At 35.5% G+C, this 13,878-nt stretch overlaps 1 protein-coding gene across 1 annotated transcript in view; it reads left to right on the top strand.

Annotated features, from left to right (window-relative positions):
• The window catches only part of DOK6 (docking protein 6), a 448,200-nt gene that overhangs the window by 162,823 nt on the left and 271,499 nt on the right, over nt 1–13,878 (top strand). Inside the window, exon 2 of the mRNA NM_152721.6 lies at nt 777–884. Within this exon, the coding sequence (NP_689934.2) occupies nt 777–884 (108 nt within the window). The remainder of the gene's footprint in view (nt 1–776; nt 885–13,878) is intronic.

Here is a 13,878-nt window from a genome sequence, read left to right on the forward strand (position 1 = left end):
TTAATGGGTGCAGCACACCAACATGGCACATGTATACATATGTAACAAACCTGCCCATTGTGCGCATATAACCTAAAACTTAAAGTATAATAAAAAAAAAAAGATTCAGGTGTGTGTGTTCAAATCCTGACATTGGCACAAACTTCATCTTGAAATGAAAGTAATGCCTATTTTACATTAATCTCATTTCACTATGAGTATTAAATATGTATATAAATTTTAATTTATTGCATGTATTTAATAAATACTTCCTATTACAGAAGTTCAAAAGTGTGAGACACATGTGTTCATAATAAAAATATATTTCTTGCTGCTTTCAAAATTACTAATGAACATCTGTTTTTAAAAATCTAAAATTCTACAAGATAAGTAAATTTTCAAATGTGATTTTTTTCAAAGATAGATAATTATTATGTAAGTGCTTCACTTAACTTTGTTAACCTGCCACTGCACTAGCATGGAAGATGGAGAATTGTCTGTCACTAGGATGGTGATAATAATTTATATGGTACTGACATCCAGATGATTTAGTTATATTAAAGACTACTAAAATCAGCCAGTACAGTGAAAACCTCAAAACGAAATCTTTTCACAAAAAATTATTTTACATGAAATATCATATTTAAAAATACTGTAATCTTAATTAAGAACATGTTTGTCAATCAAAAACAGTTCCTCTCTGAAGTACACTTAAAAAATTGATTAATTGAATCAACTCCTAATGTCGTAAACTCATGTAAAAATATGGATAATGGGATTCCTTTATTTGCTTTCAGATTTTCAGACGATGCTGGTTGGTTTTCAAGAAGGCTTCTAGCAAAGGACCCAGAAGGTTAGAAAAATTTCCAGATGAAAAGGCAGCTTATTTCAGAAACTTTCATAAGGTAAGTCACAGTCCTGGGAGTCCCTGGGGAATAACTGGGCCCTTGAAGACTTGTGGAGATATTTCTTTGATAAATGAAATCTTCAGTGGCAAAAATTAATGGCTTGGGAAAAATGCCCTTTTCTGATAAAATGCAGAAGTTATTTTTCTCCTTTAATTATCTGTTGTAAATGCCAGTGCTACCTCTGTGCAAAACCAAAGACTCATTTTTATTGCTACTTTGCAAAATGAGATGACTCATAACTCAACCAAATCCTTTCCTAAGGTGCTGAGTAGGTATTTTCTCTCTATTGAGGTTAATTATGCATTTGTTACTTGGCGTAAACTGTGAACAATATTTACTAGATAAAAATTAGGGGGCTGCCTTTAACAGTGCTAATGATATTGTTAACGTATATGGCATTTGCTGTTTTGTAAGCTCCTTAACAAGAAAATGATCATCGAATATGCTGATGTGTAGAGATAAGGCATAAATACTTGGAATAAAATATCAATCTCCTAAGAATTAAAAGAATGTAAAATATAACCCCAAAATGACGCTAAATATATCTTTCATGATAACATCAAAACACAGCTAGGTATTTTATAGTAATACAAAGGATTCATGATCAAAACTCAAGAGTTGTAGAACAGTGTTGCTTAATTGGTAGAATGCTCAGTAAAGATTTTAATTTCTCATTGGTCATACATGGAGTAAGTTTTCCTGGATAATGTAATGAATTTGTGGAATTTTATTTTATGTAATATATTGTTCTAATTTCTTTTTTAAAAATAGATTATTTGACAATAACTAGTATTTATTATTATTAGTTATGAATATTAACTAGTAATCATTTAAAATTTGAGCTTGTAAAACTCTAGGAACCATCTTCTGTCTCTACGTGTGTGTGTGTGTGTGTGTGTGTGTGTGTGTGTGTGTGTGTGTGTGTATATATATATACATAATTTTAAAAATATTTTAAATATAAATAGACATTGGTCTTGCTATGTTGCTGGTCTCAAACTCCTGATCTCAAACAATCCTCCTGCCTTGATTTCCCAAAGTCCTGGGATTACAGGCATGAGCTACCATACCCAGCCAAGTATTCCATACATTGATATAGATTTACTGCCAGAGAATACAACTTTCTGTCCAGTCACTTACTAGCTCATGTATGTTTGGTTTTCTCATGAGTAGACGAATTTTAAAATTGTTATATATCTCTAAAGATTATTTGATATATGATGTCATAAACAGCCAGCATAATACTTCTCAATCTCATTATATGCAATTATTTGAATTCTAAAGTCTTGCTGATATGTTTGTGTTATAACTATGATTATGACTTTGGCAATAAAGTGAAACCTAACTTAATGAGGAACTGCCAGTTTGTAAAAATGTGAGTCCATGATATTTAGTTTGTAAGTAAAATTTTGATGGGCTGAGCATATTATATCTTATTTGGATGCCTGGTCAGAGTTCCTGCCTGCTGGTTAGTGACATATACTAGTTGGAGCTCTCTAGCCAGTACAGCTCGGTTTATTTATTTATTTATTTATTTATTTATTTATTTACTTATTTATAGACGGAGTCTGGCTCTGTCACCCAGGCTGGAATGCAGTGGCGCGATCTCGGCTCACTGTAAGCTCCGCCTTCGGGTTCACACCATTCTCCTGCCTCAGCCTCCCGAGTAGCTGGGACTACAGGCGCCCGCCACTGCACCCAGCTAATTTTTTGTGTTTTTAGTAGAGACGGGATTTCACCGTGTTAGCCAGGATGGTCTCGATCTTCTGACCTTGTGATCCGCCCGCCTCGGCCTCCCAAAGTGCTGGGATTACAGGCGCGAACCACCGCACCCGGCCCAGTTTATTTTTATTTACAAATGAAACAGGAAAAATTGTCAAGAAGCATTATTATGTTATCTCTGGACTCAGCTATCTTTTATCTGAAAAAAATAGACACACTCTAGTACTCTAACCCCACTATAAGGATTGGTAATTTGGACACAGATGGGCGTGGAGTGTCTGCTCTACGCTAGGCATTCCACTCCTGGTTGGGAATTCAAAGATGTGTGAGACACAGTCTTGCCCCGAAAAAGCTTGCATTCTAGTGGAAAAGACGCAAATACACAAATAACTTCAATTCAATATAGCAAGTACAGATGGAGAAGTATTTATAGATTGCTGAAGAAAGAGCATTTTACCTAATTTGGAACTCAGGTAAAACTTCTCTGCAAAGATGATATTTGAATGGCCAAACTAGTGGTGGTAATGTGTCAGCCAAATGAAGAGAAAGGGTCATCTCTAGGAGGCATGTGGAGCAGCCCTTCCTCCTTATTTTATATTCTCTTGATTTTTACTAGCTTGCCCACTCATTATCCCACAGAGGCAATCACAGGCACTCCATGGCAGTGCTCAGAGCTAAGGAAAATGCCAACTCCTATTTATCTTACAGATTGCCTCTTTAAAAATCACTTAGCTTCCACTGTGAGCTGTGAATTTCAAGGCAAACTTCATTCCTTGAGTTATTCTGTGAATCGTCAAAACATGGTCTATCCGTTAGCCTGGCATGGAACTCCAACTCATTAACATCATCAGACATGTTTACGGAGCCCTTACCATGAATGTAGCACTGGGCCATGCACTGGGGATACAGTATTAGAAAGATGGTCCTCTAGTCTATCACTGATCTTCACTTCTTGATAACATAAAACAATGTAAATATGTAATAAATGTGTCTTTATTTTTTAAAAAAATAGGATAATACAGAATTAATGGATAACAGCTATAGATATGAGTAGGCTAAGACTCAACTGAAAAGAAAAAGACTCAATCCTTAACAAATTCGGTGATATAAAGAAAGATCATTCCAAGAAGAAAGAAAAATTTTTAAAAACCATTACCAAAAAAAAAATGAGGCAGGAACAATTCGGTGTGATCAAGGACCTGAAAGAGATCTGTTGTGACTGGAGTGTAGGAAAAGAGGTCATAAAAACTGAATTAGACTACAAGTGATGAGAGTCAATGACAGGGTTTTAAGCCTGGGTCTGGCATTACAGTCTTAAAATACCACTTTGTATTTTCATTTCCAGTACATAACAGTGATCCTCTGACAGTATAATTCTCCCACAGATGACATATAGAAACTCTGGATGTCAGGTTCAAGCCCCAGCTGAGGTCCGAGGGGAGTGAGTGGTTGGGGGTAGGGAGCTGGAAGAACACTCAAGAAACGACAGGTAGATGACACATGGCTTTACTCAGCAGCTCTCTCACACTGTCTGTCTCATCAGCAGCTTACTTACATTGTCCACCTTTATCTCAGCCGCTTGCTCCAGCTGTGCCCTTCTCAGCAGCTGCTGTGGCTCCTGCCGCTCCCACTCACAGCTGCATGGCCAGCTCTCCCTTACAGGGTCAGCAGCTTCACTCTCTCCCTCTCAGCCCAAGCTGGTTTCTGGCTCCCCGCGGCCTGCCTTCAGGCAACCGGCTCTCCCTTACAGAGTCAGCAACTTCACCGTCTCTCTGGGCACAAGCCCAACCTGTGCCCTGGCTCCCCCATGTTCAACTGCAAAACTAACACATTTGCAGAGACCACTCTGGCTCTCTTTCTTTCTCTGGGCATGCCATATGCACAGCGTCAGCAGGGCAGTTAGACCTTTTACAAACAATAGTGGCTCCAAGCCAGGTAATGAGCCTTCCCGTGTTATGGCTACATAGCTGTGTTTACATAATGCATGGAATTGTGCACCTGCACTCCGATCCTGCTGAGTCATGCAGGATGTTTACCTCGGCCTGTACTTGACCAAAGCACATCCATTTACCTTACACTGGACAAAATACAAAAACAAAGAAGTCCCTGGGTCTCTGAAAAAAGCTAGTCATTTTGGAGGAAAGTCAGATCTGGAATCAAGGGAATGACAGCTTCTCCCTTTCTCTGGGTGCAGCTTTAGGCTGGGGGCAGATGTAGTCACACCAAAGCAATATTGGCCATGGCAATGGGATGACTAAAACCAGCAGTTCCCAACTACCAGGGCATGAACCAGTGCTGGGCTGTGGCCTGTTAGAAACCAGGCTGCATAGCAGGAGGTGAGCAGCAGTGGGCAAGGGAGCAAAGCTTCATCTGTGTTTATTTACAGCTGCTCCCCATGGCTGGCATTACCACCTGAGCTCCACCTCCTGTCAGATCGGTGGCAGCATTACATTCTCATAGGAGCACAAACCCTATTGTGAACTACGCATGAAAGGGATACAGGCTGTGCGCTCCTTATGAGAATCTAATGCCTGATGATCTGTCACTGTCTCCCATCACCCCCAGATGGGACCATCTAGTTGCTGTAAAACAATCTCAGGGCTCCCACTGATTCTACATTATGGTGAGTTGTATAATTATTTCATTATGTACTACAATGTAATAATAGTAGAAATGAAGTGCACAATAAATGCAATATGCTTGAATCATCCCGAAACTGTCCCCCAGCCCCCACAAACCCCCTGGTCCATGGAAAAATTGTCTTCCATGAAACCTGTCCCTGGTGCCAAACAGGTTGGGAACTGCTGACTAAAACAACCACAGAAAGATTCGGCATCATTGTTCAGAAACCAGGAGAAATCTAGGCTGCCAGAAAGGGAGGAAGAAACTCCACCAAAGAGAATGCTAGAGAAGGGGAGCTCTTAAATATGTACATAAACTCAGAATGAGAGTGTGGCTGACACTTGAACCAGTTATGAAGTGGCAAATTGAAAGCAACTCACAACTAAAGCTTAAGCATCTCACTGAAGTTTGAGCCACACCCCACCACAGGTGTAGCATTTGGCAATTCAGTCTAAGCAAGGTAATTGCTGGCTGAAACAAAACACTAACCATCTCAGATAAATGTAACAGAATCCAGAGGCTACACGTGACAATTACAATGTCCAATATAAAATCCAAAATTCCTCAAGATAAAAAATACTATGAAAATGGAGTCCAATCTAAAAGGAAAAGAAAATCAGCAAATGTTCAACCTGATATGATTCAGATTCTGAATTATTAGAATGGGATTTAAAACCAGCTATTATGCCTATGCTTGATGAAGTGAATGAAAATATCCTTACTCTTTTAATTTTAAAAAAAGTATTTTTGGCAGAAAAACAAAAATTATTTTTTTTTAGAAATCCTAATATAACTCATTCTACCATAAAGGCACATGCACATATATGTACATCGCAACACTATTCACAATACCAAGGACATGGAACCAACCTAAGAAAATGTTGTACGTATACACCATATGGTACATATGGATACTATGTGGCCATGAAAAAAGAACAAGATCATGTATAACATGGATGGAACTGGAGGCCATTATCCTTAGCAAACTAATGCAGGAACAGAAAAACCATATACCACCTGTTCTCACTTATAAGTGAGAGCTAAATAATGAGAACATATGGACAGAATGAGAGGAACAACAAACACTGGGATCTACTTGAGGGAGGAGGGTGGATGGAAGGAGGTTTCAGGAAAAAAAAAACTGTTGAGTACTATGCTTAGTACCTGAGTGATGAAATAATCTGTACACCAAACCCCCAGTCACAAGTTTACCTATATAGCAAACCTGCACATACACCCCTAGCCTAAAATAAAAGTTAAACAATATATTTTTTAAAAAAGCAAAAACAAAATTCACCTGCAAAAAGGAGAAAAAAGAGAAATCTTAAATGGAAATTTTAGAACTACAAGTAAGACATCCAAAATTTAAATTTCACTGGGTAGGATTAATAGCAGGAAGAAAATAATAGAAGAAATAGTGAACTTAAAGATAGAACAACAGCAACAACAAAAAATCACTGGCTATGAAAAAGAGAATTTTTAAAAAACAAAGAAGTAAAACCGCTTCTGGGACTTAAGGGACAATTTCCTAGTTAGTATTCCCATTGCAAAGAAAGAAGAGAATGAGAAAGAAAAAAATTTGAAAAAGATAATGGCTGAAAAATTCCCAAATTTGTTGAAAGACATGAATTTACAGATTTAATAAATTCAGTGAATTTGAAGCAGGATGTTTGGAAAAAGAATCATGCCTACCAGGTCTTTCATAAAAGAGAAAGAAAATCTTCAAAGCACCCAGAGAAAAAAGACATGACATACTGGGGGTCAGTGATTTGGAGGGCAGTGATCTTGGAAACCAGAAAAGTCTGTGGGACATCTTTAGGATGACACACACACACAAAAAAGTATCTTCAACCAAAAATTCTATGTCTGTGAAAAATATCCTTTAAAATGAAGGTGAGATAAAGTCACTTTCAGATTAAGAAGAAAAAACACCTAAAGGTATTTATTTCCTTCAGATCTATACTCCAAAAGTGTTGAAAGTGAGTTCTTCAGGCAGATTATACCAGAGGACTTGAATCTTCAGGAATAGATGAAGGGAATCAAGAATTATAAATATATAGGTAAATATAAAATACTAACTTTGTCATTATATATGTATACATGATTTATAATGTATGAATATTTAATATATGTGATAAATATAATGTAAAGATGTTGGTGGTGAGTAAAACGGACTCATACCATTGTAAGATTTTCATGGCTTACATAAAGTGGTACAATATTAAGTATAAGTAGACTTGGAAAAATTAAGGAGTTTATTGTAATCCCCAGAATAACATTTTTAAGTTAACATAAAAATATGTAGCTCAAAAGTGAATAAACTAAAATTGAATTTTAAATAATATTCAAAAATTCCAGAAGAAAATAAGAAAGGAGAAAAGAGGTAAAACAACAACAACAAAAATATGAAAAATGTAAACAAAGAAGAAAATAGTTTATTTAAAGCCAATCCATGAATAATTACGTTGTGTTAGTAAACATTCCAATTAAAAAGGAAAAATTATTTGAATGGAAATAAATCAAGACCTAACAATAGGCTGTCTACAAAAGATGCACATTAAATATACAAATAGCCTGAATGCAAATGGATGGAAAAAATGATTGGCCATGAAAATAGTAATCATAAGAAATTTGGAGTGGCTGTATTAAATCAGAGAAATAGACTTCCGGACAAAGAGTATTACCAAAGATAAACAGGTTGTTTCATGATGACAACAGTATCAATTCATCAGGACAAATAAAAATCACAAATTTTATGGAACTAATTACAGAACTTAAAAATACATAAAGCAAATTTGACAGATTTAAAGGAAGAAAGAAACAATTTCACAATCTATATTGAAGATTTTAACCCCCTCCCTTTCTCACCAAATGATAGACTAGCTAGAAAAAATATATATATCAGCAAGGATATGAGATCAGACTTAACACAATCAACCACTTTGACTTGATACTTTTATACCAATACACAAAACAACTATAGAATAAAGGTTACTTTCAAGTTCACATGACATGGTCAACAAAGTAGACCACGTTCAAGAATATTAACAAGTCCTAATAAATTGAAAAATATTGTGTTCTTTGACCATAGATGTTTTAAATGTGAAATCAATAACAATGTATTATCTAGAAAGCTCTAAATATTTGAAAATTAGCATATGCCAAGGAGCAATATGCAAAAGGGCTAAATAGATATCACAAAAGCAAATATTCTAAACTGAAAGATAGCAAAAATAGATTGCAATAAGCCTTATTTCATTGTTTTTGATTAAAAGGACAAATTTTGGATATGGTGTGTAAAAACGGACAGGACTTACTTATGAATTAAGTGTCGGGTGTGAATGAAAGGTAGAACTCATGCATGATCTGTGGGTTTGGGCTTGAGCAACAATGTCAAGGATGATGCAGTTCATGGAGATGAGGAAGCCTAGAAGATCTGGCTTTGGGTAAAAATCATAAGCTTTTACTTCATATATGTTAAATTTCAAATGTCTATTAGGCATTCAAACTGAAATGTCAAGTAGTCAATTCGATAAATAGTTATGGGCTGAGGTGAGGGAAATGTCACTGCTAAAGTTGTTCCTTTGGTTATCTTTGGCATATTGATAGTACCTTATTCTATAGTTCTGGATAAAATGTCCTTGGGAAAGACAGAGAAGAAAAAGAAGATAATTAGCAATCCAACGTTTGGAAGACTAGTGAAGGAAAAAGGAACAGCATAGAAATCTAGGGAAAAGAACAGTAAAAGGTGAGAAATAACATTAAGAGTAGATCATTGGAAACCAAGAGAAAACTATTTATAAAGATGAGCAAATGGTATTATGGCTAACACCAACAAGAGATTAAGTAATATGAAAGCAAAGAGACCATTTCATTTATGACACAGAGGTCCTTGATGACTTTGACAAAAGCTGTTTCATTCAAATATGGGGACTAAGTTTACTTGAAGGAGCCTATAAGAGAATGATAGATGAGAAAAAGACAGCTACTTAGAAAATGTTTTCAAGAAGTTTTGAGCCACGACATGTAGCAGGTATGTTTTCAAATATGACATATATGTTACCTACAGGTAACACACCTGTAGGCCTATGGGAATGATCTAGTAAGCAGGAAATGTGATGAGGAGAAAGTTTATGTGTGTAATTATAGGGTTTTGGCCTTGACAGAACCTGGGATACTTCATTCATTCTAACAAAAAAGCTGGAAGAGAATATGAGTATTGATATAAGTAGGTTGGATAAAAATTAATATTGGAAAACTGTGATCAACATTTCAGAAACACACATGCTCTATGTGTGTGATTTTTCCCTCCAATGTGTGAAAATGAAGCGGCAAAACAGCATGAAGAGCCCAATGAGAACAGGAACAGTTAAGGGAATCATCTTGTGATTAAAAACTACACAGACTTTTTAAATTAAAGCTCCCTGAAGCTCTTTTGTAACTGTGTTCAGTAGATATGACAGCTAAAATTTACCTTTTTGTGGCAATGCTATGAAGATGAAAGTTTTTATTATTACAACTTTCCTTTCATAGCATTGGAAAGGTAATTCACTTTCCCGGTGACTTAAGTTTCCCTTTGGGAATTTTATTATTATTTTTTTCTGTGATGGATGGTGAACTGAAACAGCAAAGTTCAACCAATCCTGATATGGAAAAATAACATAGGCATGATTCATCAGTAGTACAAATTTTAAGGTTTTTTTTTAAGAGTGTATGCAAGGCCCCTTTTCTGATTTTGATTTTATTTTAGTAAATATTACCTAAGGCTTGTTTCTTTGTATCAACCTTACTATGTCTCTTCTTTCCACTGTCTTAACTAGTTCAATGATTCTGATTTCTGTTTCTTTTTTTCCCTTAGGACGTACATCTGGTTTTCTTCAAATTCTCTTTTACCATCCTTTCGTTATTCTATAACGCCACTCTTTATCATTCAAATGTGATCTATTCTTCCTAGTCATCAAAATTACATTACTATTAAGCAAGTCTGAATTGCTCAAATTAAGGTAAAAGCCATCAATAGGAATATATGCACTTGTTGAGTGAGATAAGTAACATACGGGCACATCCATCTCTAGAAGTTGTTGCCTCTGTGCTACCAAGGAAAAGAGATCTGCCCTCTTTATTGGGGAATTGCTATTAAGCCCAATTCATATATGATGAATGCAGTATGATTATGAATGTAATCATATAATGTAATATAAATCTTTGTGAGACACTATGTGTAGTGACAATGCAGACCCCAAGTTTCAGAAAATGAAGATGCTCTTCTTGTTTGTACACTAGGGATCGTAATTGTCCTAATCTTCTAGGACCAGGAGGAGACTTGACTAAGTTTCTACATATAAAAATTTTAAGAGTGTTTGGAGGAGTCAATCAACACTAAGAGTTATTATCATTATTGTTTTGAAATTTTACAATCTGATGAAGTAAGGTTTATAAATAGCTAACTATAATGAAATATGATTAAATGTAGAGTGCAATGTTAAAAGTACACAGGAACAGTTAATTCTGCTTCTGGCAACTAGGACTTTACCAAGGACGTGACACTTAAGGGACTTCTTAGGTTTACTTAGTTTTGACAAAGTAAAATAATGGGGGAATGCACTATATGAAGAAAAATGTGACCACAAGTACTGAAAAGCTACATTGCACAATGATTTGAAGAGAATTTGAGTTATCTAGTGTTGGCAGGCTCTGAAAGGAGGCCTGGAGTGGGAAAGATGAGCCCAAAAAAATTGCATGGGGCAATAATTGGGTATAAATACCTTACTATGAGTTTAGTTTTTATCTTTAGGCAATAGCGAAGTTGTGAAAGGGTTAAAATGTTTTTTGTCATATTCTCAAATAGGTATTTCAGAAAAAAATCCATTTTTGTGGTGTCATAGCCAATGGATAGGGTAATACACTATGTAACAGAGAAACTAGTTAATTAAATATTATAATATTCCCACTTCCCAAAAATAGATGTCAGAGTCCTGAATGGAGAAAGGTACGTGAATGGAAAGGAGGAGATAGATTTAGGTGACGTTCTCCAGGCACAGTCAAGTAGAATTAATTACTTAATGGATACAGTGTACACCCTTCAGGCCATGGTGAAAAGCCTAGGCTTCCCTACTGCACAGCATATTCATGTAGCAAAACTGCACAGGTATTTCCTAAATTTATACAAATAAAACTTTTTAAAAAGACTTTGTAACTGACTGTGTATAGGGGAAATGGAAGAGAGAGGAATGAAAGTTCTGATCTTTTCAAGACAGGGTGGTGGATGCATGATTTTGCACTCACAGAAACAGTTACCATATGAGGAGCAGTTTTCACTGGTAAAGAAAAATGTCATCCTTGGCATGGTATGAGGCATCTATGGTATATTCAGGCATATATTTTCATTAAGCAATTAGAAGTACAGCAGATTGTAGTGAAATTGCCCAGGAAGCCTACTGAATAGAATTAAAGTTAAGGTAGGTGTATATCAAAGCCCATGTGCAAAAGCAGATCCATGCAAAATTAAACTTTATAATAAGCCCTTTTCTCTAGATGACATGGAGTTTGGTATCAGCCTTAGAGTAACATCCGTGGTATTTCACAGGTATTTCAATTCCGAGATTATTGAGAGCTACAAATAAAAAAAAGTTGAGCCCTGACAGGAAAAAAGCTAATTTAAGAAATGCTTTTAAAAATTGCAAAGAGTGCCACTTAAATGAGTAGCTGTTAGTGGAATAAATGTTAAAAGACTAAACAGCAAAGGTTATAGTAATTATCAATACTATGTAACTATACTCCTAAGGAAATAGTAATAATTCTAAAGAGAGAATATATTTATTTTAACAAAGAGAAAATTGTTTAAAATTTTTTATATTTACAAAGGAGAAGGAGAAAGCACATTATTGGAGGCCATGGGTGTTTCCTTGGGACAGGACAGGTGGCTGTGGGTGACTTCAATGTCACCATAGGGATCAGATGGTGTTATTTTGTCCAAGACCTAGACAATCAGCCATCAAGGCAAAAAAAATCACAGAAGTTTTTAAATATTTTTATGCTCAAATATACTCTTGCTCTTACAAAATCATGGACTAAACCATAATTCCTCATGGCTTGCTCCATTTCTAGAATCATTAACCCTTTTTCTTCAGAAGTGTACATTGGCCAAGTTGTAAATTTGGTCATAGTTGCCTCTGAGGTGCAGGTAAATAAAGGAAGCTCCTTTTATGAGAAAGGCGAGATGTGGAATCTTTGTTTTCTCTTAGATAATTAATGGCCAGTCCAAATATTGGATCTCCAGAATTGGGAAAAAATATTCATCATCAAGATGGCTTAGAGAAATAGACTAGTGTGGATTTCTCAAACTGTTCTATTTGTGAGTGTTTAAATATCTTGAACTTGTAACTAAGCAGTTACTTTGATATACCCTAAAATCAAAGTAACTGGTTAGTTACAAGTTTAAGATATTTATGCTGTAACACTCAATAGCAATAAATTAAAATAATCAAATGAATGAAATGTTTGCAACCTAAATGAGAGATTTCTGAAAAAATAAGCCAAGGATACAATTATTTCTTTACCAACTTTAACTTTGTGTTACGCCCTATCTGGAACATACATATTATAAGCTTATGAGTATTAATGGTCTCATTTAGACATTTGATATGTTTACTGTGAGAGTGATCTTGCAGCATAAATCAATTTTTATATGAAACTGCTATAAAATGGTATATACTTTTTAGAAACTTCTTGGCAGAGAGAAATTTGAAATTCAAATCACTAGCTGCTGAGGGAAGTTATTAAAAATGCATTAGGGTTGAAAATGTAGCTGTATATAATTGTCATAACAGATATTGAAAACAAATTTATCCTCAATGAAAACTGAACTAGAGCAATTTACATAGAATCAGCTAATAAATTTTCCTTAATTTTCTAAGCAGATGAAAAAGTAGCAGTTTATAGACATTTTAATAAAATAAATATGAGTTCTGTCTACAGGGAGGAAAATATAAATAAAATCCCTTAGAAGGATGAATGAAGATAAAACAACGTGAAGTTCCATGAAAACTGCATGATGCCAGAAAAGCGATGCTTGTATTGGGACCAATCTCACTTCTAAATTCCCTGTAACCCAACACTGAAAACATCATTTTATTCTCTTTGTTTGGCCTTGGCAGTATTTATCCTTAGGTAAAGCAAACATCTCAGAAAGTTGGGGAAAATAAAGGCATCCTTGTGAAAAACAGCCACCTATAAATACACTATTTCTTCAAAACTAGAAGAAAAGGCATTGGTAAATGCAGAAATGGCACATGGGCATAATGTTCTGTTGGACACTCTACCCTCATTTTGATTCCACGAAGAAACGGCCCTATGCTTGGATGAGCACATATGTCATGCGATGTGAAAGCTGTTAAAGGGCTTGGTGTCTCTTGAAATACCTGCTGGAAGTTCCCAAAGTGATCATGATTTGTTTAGATTAAGGTGTCTTATCTATTCATTAATGTATTCATCCATCTTCAATCTCTTATCTGGAAGAGGTCTCAATTTCTTGAACATTAAGCACTTACTAATATACACATCGGTTTCTAGGACAGTGACACCTCAATTCACAATCATTTACTGATTGATTTACTTATATTACCACATGCAGGTGTCTCAGGGAAGA

The sequence above is a fragment of the Homo sapiens genome, chromosome 18, assembly GCF_000001405.40.
Source record: "Homo sapiens chromosome 18, GRCh38.p14 Primary Assembly".
In the NCBI taxonomy this organism is placed as follows: domain Eukaryota; kingdom Metazoa; phylum Chordata; class Mammalia; order Primates; family Hominidae; genus Homo; species Homo sapiens.